At 39.6% G+C, this 12645-nt stretch overlaps 1 protein-coding gene across 3 annotated transcripts in view, besides 1 other annotated feature; it reads left to right on the top strand.

Moving 5' to 3' along the window:
• SLCO5A1 (solute carrier organic anion transporter family member 5A1) overlaps positions 1-12645 on the top strand; it is a 167933-nt gene that overhangs the window by 144134 nt on the left and 11154 nt on the right. For all 3 annotated transcript variants that reach the window (NM_030958.3, NM_001146008.2, NM_001146009.1), the window contains 2 exons: positions 8502-8661; positions 11226-11467. In NM_030958.3, the coding sequence (NP_112220.2) occupies positions 8502-8661; positions 11226-11467 (402 nt within the window). The remainder of the gene's footprint in view (positions 1-8501; positions 8662-11225; positions 11468-12645) is intronic.
• Positions 517-811: a silencer, noted in NCBI's record as "tiled regions #11728 and #13723; K562 Repressive DNase matched - State 24:Quies". NCBI's record gives its function as "represses a minimal TATA promoter and a strong SV40 promoter by Sharpr-MPRA in K562 cells {active_cell/tissue: K562}" and the evidence as "EXISTENCE:reporter gene assay evidence [ECO:0000049][PMID:27701403]".

Below are 12645 nucleotides of genomic sequence, written 5' to 3'. Positions count from 1 at the left end.
GCTACTGAGCTGAAACTTCTCCAGGGGTGATTCTTGAGCTACCAAATGACCAGGAAGAGTTTTCTCAGTTTTCTGCTCTTGGCCGAGACTGTTGGACAGGATGATTCACTCAGTTCCACCCAGCTCCGAAATATTTCCCTAAAGTATCTTCTCTGAATATAGCTTTATTGCCCCATCGTATTCAGACTATAGAAATTAAATAAATACAGTCTGTTAATTCAGACCTTTGCCACATGCACAACTCAGCTTCCTCTTCACCACACTTGATTTTACCGTAGGACAACATGGTGTCTTTAGATAGTTGACCAGCCCTCCCAGTTGACTGGCATTTCTGGCCATGTCATTCCTAAATCCTTCAATTATATCATTCAAACCATTCATCTCCTTGCCTGTGTCTCATGGGTAGCTTAATCTACTTAAGAGTTTTTTCTCCATTGTTTAAATATTTTAGCACCATTCCACAAAGGCCCGCGGCGGGTGTTGACGCGATGTGATTTCTGCCCAGTGCTCTGAATGTCAAATTGAAGAAATTCAATGAAGCACAGGTAAATGGTGGGAGTAACTATGACTCTCTTAAGGTAGCCAAATGCCTCGTCATCTAATTAGTGACGCGCATGAATGGATGAACGAGATTCCCACTGTCCCTACCTACTATCCAGCGAAACCACAGCCAAGGGAACGGGCTTGGCGGAATCAGCGGGGAAAGAAGACCCTGTTGAGCTTGACTCTAGTCTGGCATGGTGAAGAGACATGAGAGGTGTAGAATAAGTGGGAGGCCCCTGGCGCCCCCCCGTACCCGCAAAGGGGCGGGGCGGGGTCCACCGGCCTTGCTGAAATAAAAGAGGATACAAACAAATGGAAGAACATTCCATGCTCATGAGTAGGAAGAATCAATATCGTGAAAATGGCCATACTGCCCAAGGTAATTTATAGATTCAATGCCATCCCCATCAAGCTACCAATGACTTTCTTCACAGAATTGGAAAAAACTACTTTAAAGTTCATATAGAACCAAAAAAGAGCCCGCATCACCAAGTCAATCCTAAGCCAAAAGAACAAAGCTGGAGGCATCACACTACCTGACTTCAAACTATACTACAAGCCTACAGTAACCAAAACAGCATGGTACTGGTACCAAAACAGAGATATAGATCAATGGAACAGAACAGAGCCCTCAGAAATAACGCCGCATATCTACAACTATCTGATCTTTGACAAACCTGACAAAAACAAGCAATGGGGAAAGGATTCCCTATTTAATAAATGGTGCTGGGAAAACTGGCTAGCCATATGTAGAAAGCTGAAACTGGATCCCTTCCTTACACCTTATACAAAAATTAATTCAAGATGGATTAAAGACTTATATGTTAGACCTAAAACCATAAAAACCCTAGAAGAAAACCTAGGCATTACCATTCAGGACATAGCCATGGGCAAGGACTTCATGTCTAAAACACCAAAAGCAATGGCAACAAAAGCCAAAATTGACAAATGGGATCTAATTAAACTAAAGAGCTTCTGCACAGCAAAAGAAACTACCATCAGAGTGAACAGGCAACCTACAAAATGGGAGAAAATTTTCGCAAGCTACTCATCTGACAAAGGGCTAATATCCAGAATCTACAATGAACTCCAACAAATTTACAAGAAAAAAACAAACAACCCCATCAAAAAGTGGGCAAAGGATATGAACAGACACTTCTCAAAAGAAGACATTTATGCAGCCAAAAGACACATGAAAAAATGCTCATCATCACTGGCCATCAGAGAAATGCAAATCAAAACCACAATGAGATACCATCTCACACCAGTTAGAATGGCAATCATTAAAAAGTCAGGAAACAACAGGTGCTGGAGAGGATGTGGAGAAATAGGAACACTTTTACACTGTTGGTGGGACTGTAAACTAGTTCAACCATGGTGGAAGTCAGTGTGGCAATTCCTCAGGGACCTAGAACTAGAAATACCATTAGACCCAGCCATCCCATTACTGGGTATATACCCAAAGGACTATAAATCATGCTGTTATAAAGACACATGCACACGTATGTTTATTGCGGGACTATTCACAATAGCAAAGACTTGGAACCAACCCAAATGTCCAACAATGATAGACTGGATTAAGAAAATGTGGCACATATACACCATGGAATACTGTACAGCCATAAAAAATGATGAGTTCATGTCCTTTGTAGGGACATGGATGAAATTGGAAATCATCATTCTCAGTAAACTATCGCAAGGACAAAAAAACCAAACACCGCATGTTCTCACTCATAGATGGGAATTGAACAATGAGAACACATGGACACAGGAAGGGGAACATCACACTCTGGGGCCTGTTGTGGGGTGGGGGGAGCGGGGAGGGATAGCATTGGGAGATATACCTAATGCTAAATGACGAGTTAATGGGTGCAGCACACCAGCATGGCACATGTATACATATGTAACTAACCTGCACATTGTGCACATGTACCCTAAAACTTAAAGTATAATAATAATAAAAAAAAAATTTTAGCACCATTCAAAATCATTTATTGTAGATATTACTAATTTTAACGGAAGTTTCTGAGAATTAGAGGGGAAAGAAGTTTGCTTAAAAGAGCATAGACATACATGTTTTTGGATTATCCTAGCTCCTTCTATTTATAGTCTTAGAGTTCATTTCTAGATGTAAATATATGAGTTCGTCTTTTTTTTGGCTCTATTTGGAGACACAATGTTTGTTTTACTTCGTTTTAGGAGTATCAGGGGGATAAAAACTATAAGCAAATTTTCTTTCTGCCAAGTTTGAAATTTTGTAACCAAGATCTAAACAAATCAACATGAAGTCTGTAAGGTATCATGTTTTAAGATATATACCCTTAAAACATGATAAGTTTTTATTTCAAAAATGCCTATGAGTATCATTAAACTTAGGACCAAGTTTACCTTTCTATACCCTTATATTAACATATGTTATGTTATATTATGATTATGTATATGTTAAAATTATATATATGTTAAAATATGTTATATTAACATATTAACATAACAATATAATGTAATGTTAGGAGGAGACAAAACAGAATTTAAAACTTTACATACAATCTTGGTAGCAATATGTTATTAATGTTAATCTATACGTACATTGAGAAAAGACCAGAACAAAATATACTAAAAGCATTAAAAGTGGATATCGCTGGGTGTTAGCACTATGCATGAGTTTAATTTTTTTGTCTTTGTGTATTTTAAAAAATTTCTACAATGAGTATGTATTACTTTAATAATAAATAAAGATATTTTGAAAAGCCATATAAGTGACACATTATTTTATTTGAAATGATTTTGGACTTAAAGAGATAGTTTGTACATATTGTGGGTTATTACATGTAAGTTTCAAGTTACACCTGATTTAAATTTCTTGTCTACAAAGCTGAAGGGAGCTTTAATGATAAAAATAACAATTAGACGCAGTAATCACAATTTCCTTGAATATAGTCCTCTTCTAAACCTATGCTAGCACATATGCTATGACATACTGCGCTTTGTTGATTAGTCTTACTCTCCTTCGTGTAGTCAGGAGGGGTATTTAATAGCCATAGACGAAAAGATTTGGCCCAAGGTCACATAGCTACTAAATGGCAGGCCTGAAACTAGATCTCCATCTAGTTCTTTTCCCACCATTCTCTGTAGGAGTAAATTTAAAAGCTATTTTATCCTTTTTGAAAGGAAAAATGTCATGGTAGCCTTTTGCACTCCTCACGTTTGTGATTGTGTTACTGCTATTCATTCATGCTTCTGTTAAGTGCGGAAAGATACCAATATCTTAGCGCGTGTTATGTCCCAGGCACAATGCTGGACACTGGCCATACATTCACCCGCCTAATCCCCCACAACGACTGTGTGATACTGACATTTTGATAACTGTTTACAAATATAAAATCTGAAATTCACAGCACTTGTGAATTGTGGATATGAAATTGAACCCAGCTCTTTCCGACTCACACTCAGGAACACTGAAAGCAGAGTGCGAGAAAAACTGCATTAGAGCTTTCTCCAGGAAGAAGAAAGCGAAATAAGCCACCCAGAAGACCTGTGCTAGAGGAGTAAAACTAGGGACAGTTACACAAAGCTTCCCTGCCAGTGTTGGGGCTTACAGATGCACACTGTGGTGAAAGATAAAATTGGGTTTAAATCCATTTCTGACCCTTACTAGCTGTGTGACTTTGGCAGTGCCTATCCTCTCAAATCTTCAATTTCTTCGTCTGAAAGATGGAAGTGTGGCAATAATAATGACAATTCTCATGGGGAATGAATGAGACAACTTATGCTGAGATCTCAGGGTGCAATACATGGAACAAAAATAGGGTTCTGCTGATGTTAGTTTTAAATGATAATGATGATTATGACGATGATAATAATATTTATAAACCTGAAGTTGCATAGCTCTGTATAGCCAAAGAAGGGTTCTCATATGAAGCCAAAAATTTAAGTGGCATTGAAAAGAAACATTCTCATTGAAGTCTTCTTGAAGACTGAGATAAATTGATGAAGATTAAGAAATTATGAGAAAGATACTGTTCTAGTTTATTAGTATATTTTGCTAAAGAGGTCTTCTCTCTCTTTTTTTTGCTGTGTGAAGCATGTTCTTTTAGTCCACGTGGCATGAGCATAGTATGTATGGATTTCTACTTGTCACATCTTTTAATAGAGAGGAACTCAAAAGGAGGCAGAAGTCCCTTAAAAAAGTTAGGGGACTTCTCTTTGATTTACAGAGACCAGTAGAAGTATGTAGTAGAAGTATGTTTAGATGGGGAAGTTGAAGTGTTCTTTAGATCTTGGGGTAGGGTGATGGGACACAATTGCTGTGGTGTGAATGTGATTTTTGAGGGCCACTGTGTTCTTACATACTTAGCTGTAATGACCCTATAGCAGAAAGTGTTTGAATTATGTTTAACAATCATCTGTCTTGCTGTTATATATTACTTTACATAAGCATCGATCCCTGAGTGATTGATTTCACAAAGATTGGATAACAAGGTTGTTGTTTTTACTTGTTTTCTCTTTTGCTGTCTCCCCAGGGCTGGTTTTCTTGAGGCCTCAATGATTGTGGGGCTTGCCATGATACCTCTTATAGTTTCCCATTCTTTAAAGTTAGCAAATTTGCCAGATAATCTCAGAGATCCCTCCATCTCTCTAGCTCTGTAATTCCATGATTTTTATAGTAAGATGAAATGTGTGACTCTCAGGCTTACATTGTGGACCACCCAGTTATAAGGTATTGCTATCGAGGCCCCGTGCCTCACTCAAAATTAACACTTACATTGATTCTTGAGTTAACACGATTCTCTTATCTGGAGGACTACCTTCAGTAAGAAGCCCTTGTGCATTTTATGTCTTGCCAGAAATGCTTTTTGTTTGTTGGGAAGGTGCTGCACAGTCCTTTTGCACAAGGATGAGGGCAGCCTTCAGTAAATAGTCCTTGTGCATTTTGTGCTCTCATGATGGGTTCTCTTCAGGCTAATGAGAGATTGCTTAGTGTTACTCAGGTTTAAACATTTGTGCTATTATTAGAATCCAGTATGTTTTCTGGAGAGTGAATGACAATCAGACAGGACATGATTATTCTTAAAAATGATTTTCAGCACAGTGTAAAGGATGAACCACGTCAGCAGCTTTTTGTGTGTGTACCATGATCACCTTCTCTCCTAATAACTTTTTCATGAATGCCCACTTCCTTTCATTGCTATTTATATTTGTTGCATGTATTGATTTTCTTAGAGCCTTTCATTTCATAGCATTTATTTGTATCAGACACCATGATCTCATAAGAAAAGCAAACATACCCCAGGGTGACCTGGGTCTGTGCTCGTTTCCTAAACTCAGGAAAGCTTTTTGCCTCCTTGAACAGTGTGAAAGTTGGTCTAGAACAGAGTGTCTCATCCTCAGCACTATTGACATTTGGGCCAGATAATTCCTTATAATGGGAGGTGGTGGGGGCCTTCCTGTGCATTGTAGTGATGCAGGCAAAACCTCAAAATTGGGTCTCAGCTAGGAGGAGTTCTTGGCTTTGCACAGGAAAGAATTCAAGAGCAAGCTGGCAGTGAAAGAAAACAAGTTTATTAGAGAAGCAGTGTACAGCAAAATGGCTCCTTCATAGAGCATAGGTGGAGTGGCCCAGAGAAGCACTTGTGGATTGCTGGCTGGCTATATTTATACCCACTATTAATTATATACAAAATAAGGGGCAGGTTATTCACAAACTTTCTGGAAAAGGGGCAGAGAGTTCCCAGAACCATATAAGGTAACTTTTGGGCCATTTGCCATGGCATCATTTATAAACTGCCATGGTGGTGGTGGGAGTGTCTTATGCAAATGTATTATAATTAGCATATAATTAGCAAAGCAACTAGAGGTCGCTTTGGTTGCCATCTTGGTTCTCCTGGATTTGGCCAGTTTCTTTGCTACATCCTGTTTTGATCAGCAGGGTTGTGACCAGGGCTCAGAAAGCAGGTCCCGCTGATCTCCTACCTCAGTAGGAACTACTGGCCCATTAGATGCCCGTAGCACCCCCTCAGTTGTGAGAACTAAAATTGTCTCCTGACGTTGCCAAAGGTCCCCTGGGGGGGCAAAATTGACCCAGTGGAGACCCACTAGTCTAGAATAATATTTTTTTAGGTATATACAAACTTTAAGATGATATGACACTAGGAGTTTGTGAATGTAATGATTATTAGAGTCTTGTCATACTTTTTTTCTATGGAGCGACATGAATGAAAAACAGAATTTATTTGCCTTTTGCATTGTTAGGAGGATTTCTTGATAAGACTTTAATATTGTTTTGAATTTGTTTCCCCCATTAAAATTTAAGGACTCATTATCAAAGTTTGAAAGAGGCCACAGGAGAAAAACCTTTGAACAAACACCAATTAACACGCATGATTGGGATGGGCTATGCTACTGTATAAGTGGTACCAGCATAGTCATTAAAGATAAGTCTTGGCCAGGCATGGTTGCTCACGCTTGTAATCCTAGCACTTTGGGAGGCCAAGGGGGAGTGGATCACGAGGTTAGGAGTTCGAGACCAGCCTGGCCAACATGGTGAAACCCCATCTCTACTGAAAATACAAAAATTAGCCGGGCATGGTGGCAGGTGCCTGTAATCCCAGCCACTCGGGAGGCTGAGGCAGGCGAATTGCTTGAACCTGGGAGGTGGAGGGTGCAGTGAGTGGAGATCACGCCACTGCACTCCAGCCTGGGCGACAGAGTGAGACTCCTTCTCAAAAAAAAAAAAAGATAAGTCTTGGTGGCGAGGGAGGGAGTTGAGGGGCGAGAAATTACCTATTGAGTGCAATGTACATCAGTCAGGTGATGGGTTCACTAAAAGCCCAAACTTCGCTACTACACAATATATCCACATGACAAAACTGTTCTTTCACCCCCTCTAAATCTATTTCAAAAAAGATAAGACCTGGTACGTAACAGACATTCCAAAATATTTGTTAAATGGGTAGATACTGGAAAAATGGATGGTTGGATGAAGGATCTGCTATTGCTAACTCATCTAGTCTTGGGAACAACATTTCATCAGTGATACACAAAACTGGTGGTCACAAAAGCAAAAGCGGTCATGGGGTACGAGCAGTACAGAGCGCCTTTCCTTTTCCTGTGGATCCCCCAGGTGCTCCTCTGCTCTTCCACCGCTGTTTGTTTACACTCTTCTCCCCAGGCCTATATCCTTACCTGCCTTTCCTTCCCTCTATATTTGTTGCCTGAATTTATTTTCTTCAAGCCTTTCATATGGTATCATTTCTTTGTATCAGACACCATGATCTCAAGAAAAGAAACCCACCATATTTGATTGTGGATCCACACCGGGGCAATCCTGAGTGAAGAACTGCTTAATCTTTATTCTCTGGTTGTTTAAATCAAACTAGCAATGTGATTCCTAATCATCTTTGAAAATACTTCATTTTGATTGTCTAGAGCCCCAATGCCTTTCTTTGATAATTTATTCTAGAATACAAGTTTTTGGTCGAAGGAACGTATATTAATAACTGGGATAGATGGATTTTAACAGTGATCATGTGCTCACAGTGATGTTATTGATTCAATACTAAAAAGTATTTTCTCCATTTTATAAAGAAATTGAGGTACAGATTTGTTAAGATGTAGAGCCTGGCGCCTACAGTAAGTGAGTAGTTATATTAGGGTTGGAATTGCAGAGCCCAGATGTTGAGACCAGGTTCATAGCACCAAGAGGGAGGGTGAAATTGATGTGGGGCAGTAATTTGATAAAAAGCATTGAATCTGTAATACCAGTAAGTTGAAACATTTTTCTTTATGTTTTGTTTTAAAGTCACAAAATAATTGTTGAGGATGACTACTTTGGGTATCATGGCTTTGATTCAATGGGAAGAATATTTTCTCTAAAATGGACAAATTATTAATTTCAAGACCTTTCCTATGAGTTTTATTTTGGTAAGTGTTGCTCATGATCTGCTTCTCTTCTCTCTTAGACCTTCTCTCACCATGCCCCATAGGAATCTGACAGGAAGCTGCAACGTTAATTGTGGTTGTAAAATACACGAGTATGAGCCAGTCTGTGGATCAGATGGAATTACATACTTTAACCCTTGTCTGGCTGGCTGTGTTAATAGTGGTAATCTTAGCACTGGGGTGAGTATATTTCACAAGTTCCTCTTCTGTTAGTCCAACATCCTGTGACAAGGATGTGATGAAATTCCTATGCAGCTACAATGACTTCAGTCTTTCTTTTCAAGAGGCTCCAAGTAACCTACAAAATACCTCTGATGAAAACCTAGAGGAAAGAAAATTATGCATTGCTATTATTTTTTTTTCCAGGGATGACTGGAACATTTGGGTGCAGGGATTTTGTTCCATATCAGCCTTCTCCTACTTTATATTCTGCGCCAAGTCAGTGAAACTTGATAAGGTTGAGCTCTAGGCCTGCCATTTGTTTCTCTGACAGGGCCCTTGTGATGGATTTGAAGGTCAAGATGACCACATTTGGTGCTGATAAAAAAGTATAGGAAAGCACCTCCCCTGACTGGAGTCTGTGAAGATGGGTGATGGCCATTTTTCATAGACTATATCAGTTCAGTTCCGGCTTAAAAAAAAACTTTCAAAGTAAAGATATTTCTGACAGTTCAAGAATAGGCTATTTTGAGAATTCCCTTTCCTGTAAATTATAAATGGGCTGTAATACTGTGGGAGAAGGTTTTCATATTCTACTGTTTCTTTTTTTTGAGATGGAGTTTTGCTCTTGTTGCCCAGGCTGGAGTGCAATGGCATGATCTCGGCTCACCTCAACCTCCGCCTCCCAGGTTGAAGTGATTCTCCTGCCTCAGCCTCCCTAGTAGTTGGGATTATAGGCATGTGCCACCATGCCTGGCTAATTTTGTATTTTTAGTAGAGACGGGGTTTCTCCATGTTGGTCAGGCTGGTTTCGAACTCCCGACCTCAGGTGATCTGCCTGCCTTGGCCTTCCAAAGTGCTGGGATTACAGGTGTGAGCCACTGTGCCCGGCCTCTACACAGTTACTTATTGAGCCCAGTTTGATTCTTTGTGAAGAACAGATTGTACGAAGTTGCTTTCACTAAAAGGTTAAAATGCATGTGCTTGTTCTGTGCAGGTGATAAGGGATTATACCATCCACTGAATGTTTTGGGGATATTGTTTTTGATGTCTGAGTTTTAAACTGCAATGATAAATTGAGAATTCCTGTTGTTTGTTCCCCATTATATAATTGGTGAACTCCACTGTGTCGCCATGTTGAAAGGGTGAGATCTGTTCTCTTGGTGGCGAAGTCCTTTCTTGAGAGTGAGTGTTCATCCTTTAAAATATGCCAGCAGTCTTTTGAGCATGACAGCCAAACAGTGCCCCATCTTCATACTTTTTCTTATGACTGCTTCAAGTATTCAAAGGTTGCAATGAAGGCCAGCTGATGTCCATTTAGTCTGACTCTGTCACAGTCCAGGAGCAGTACTGGGTGGGGGCTGTAGTAGCCAAGTTACATCCATGGAGCTGGTTGCTCTTCTATAGGGTGTAGGGCACCAGCTAACTAAAGGGACTTCAAAGATGTTTAAAAATGGAAGCACCAGAATGTATATTAACTTAGACACCGTGGAAAGCAGTTTGGAGATTTCTCAAAGAACTTAAAACGACCACTCAACCCAGCAATCTCATTCCTGTGTATGTATCCAAAAGAAAACAAATTGTTCTACCAGAAAGACACATGCACTTGTATGTTCATCGCAGCACTGTTCACAATAGTAAAGACATGGAATCAAGCTAGGTGCTCATCAGTGATGAATTCCATAAAGAAAATGTGATAATATACACCATGGAGTACTACACAGCCATAAAAAAGAATAAAATCATGACCTTGGCAGCAACATGGATGCAGCTGGAGGCCATTATCCTAAGTGAATTAATGCAGGATTAGAAAACCAAATACCGCATGTTCTCACTTATAAGTGGGAGCTAAACATTGGGTACTCATGGACACAAAAATGGAAACAATAGACACTGGAGACTACTAGAGGGTGGAGATGGGGAGGGAGGTGTGAAAAACTACCTGTTGGGAACTATGCTCATGATTTGGGTGATGGGATCATCTGTACACCAAACCTCAGCATCACACAATAGACCCGTGTAACAAACCTGCACATGTACTCCCTGCATCTAAAATAAAAGTTGAAAAAGAAAAGAAAACGGAACACCAATGAGATGTTCACTATTATTGGCGCTAAAGTCATCACGATTGCACTATAAATTCTCTGCATTTAATAGATGTTTACTTTAGGGCCCACTGTGTGCCCAGAGTTGTGCTAGGTGCTCTGTGAGCACAAAGAAAAATAAGGTTTGGATCTGTTTTTTGAGGGGCTTCTCTAATTGGAGAGCCCAAGAGTTAACAGCAATGGAGGCAGAATATAATGATGACAAAAATGAGCCTGCAGAACGTGAATGGTATTGAATGTTGAAAGCTTCTTAGAAAAGTTTAGGTTTAAACAATTTTGACCAGCAGACTTTGATTCTGTTAGACACACACTTGAGATCCTTACTGTTACCAATGAGGAAGGTACTTTCAATGAAATATTTTGTGTTTGAAAAAATATTTGAGCTATTTTAGAGTACTTTTACTTAACTTTGTCTTAATATTCTTATGCCACAGTTAGCTTTTGAGGGGCACACAACTCATCTTTATTTTGCTCACTTAGATACGGAATTATACAGAATGCACCTGTGTCCAAAGTCGCCAAGTGATCACTCCACCCACCGTGGGACAGCGAAGTCAGCTCCGTGTGGTTATTGTCAAGACTTATCTCAATGAGAACGGCTATGCTGTGTCTGGGAAATGTAAACGGACCTGCAATACTCTTATCCCATTCTTAGTTTTTCTTTTCATAGTCACCTTCATCACAGCATGTGCCCAACCATCAGCTATCATAGTAACACTCAGGTGAGAACAGCATTCAACTTCTGGGGTGGGTTCTGTACTTATAATTTCCAGAGCACATAATCCAGGACAAGGGGCTTATGTGGTAAATCAGAGAGCAAAGCAAAATTAGCATGTGCAGGAGGGCGCTCAGATATTTGCCTGGTGAACTTAGGAGGGATTTTTCCCTGTTGGGAAGGGAAAGAAAGGTTGTAACATTTCATACTTTGGAAAGTTCTTTATTCAGTTGGGTTATATTCTTACTGTATAATGAAACGTCTTTTGATGTTTTTGATTCCTGAAGTCTCTGCCCTACGAGGTTCAACTTCAGGAGTTGAAAGTCATCACTCTGTCAGCTGTGAGAAGCTGGACCCCAGAGGAGGGCAGGAAGTAATTTGAGAAAGTTGCTAAATCGTGCATACAGCAAAGGCTATTATCTTCAACCTTATAGATAGTTACTGCCTTCAGGATCAGTGGTGATTTATGCTGGGCCTGCAATTTGAAATGCTGAGTTCATTAATTTTACTATCATATAAAATTTCAGAGTTGAGTCAAGAAAAGGGCATATTGGGGAATGTGATTTCTCCCTTTTTTTTTTTTTCAGTTTTTCAGGCTGTGCTTTCTTTGCCATATCTTGTTTGGATTTTTTGTTTATAAGAGGACATGGAAGCTACTTTTGTCCTATTAAAAATGTTGGCACTGGTGTTCCTGGACCAAAATGATGGTCGGGCTGCTATTTTTTTGCACTGCAATAACGTGATACAGATGAACAGGGGAGGAAGAGGGTTTTTATTTCTGTAACCAGTTACAGGGAGAAGGCCTGGAAATAAACACCAGACCAACTCAAAATTACAAAGTTTATTAGAGCTTATATACATTCTAAGCTATCTGTCTACGTGTAAGTGTGCATTCATCTAAAGACATAAGTGATTAATTTCTTTTAATTTATAACTAAGATCTGAATCTTGAAGACCTTCTTCTGGAGCCTCAGTAAGTTTACTTAATCTAAATGGGTCCAGGTGCTGGGGTGATTACCCTTATCTTGTCTCCTGCTAAATCACGGAGGTTTGGGGAGTTCCTTCAGACCCCCAATAAACCTGTTTATGGAGGCCTAGGGAGTTTTTTCAGACCCCCAATAAAACTTGTTTAATCCTAAATGGATCCTGTTAAGAATTTGTTCATTATTTTGTCGTGCTTTAAGG

Source organism: Homo sapiens, chromosome 8 (assembly GCF_000001405.40).
Source record: "Homo sapiens chromosome 8, GRCh38.p14 Primary Assembly".
Lineage (NCBI taxonomy): Eukaryota > Metazoa > Chordata > Mammalia > Primates > Hominidae > Homo > Homo sapiens.
This window is presented reverse-complemented; position numbering and strand designations above follow the sequence as displayed.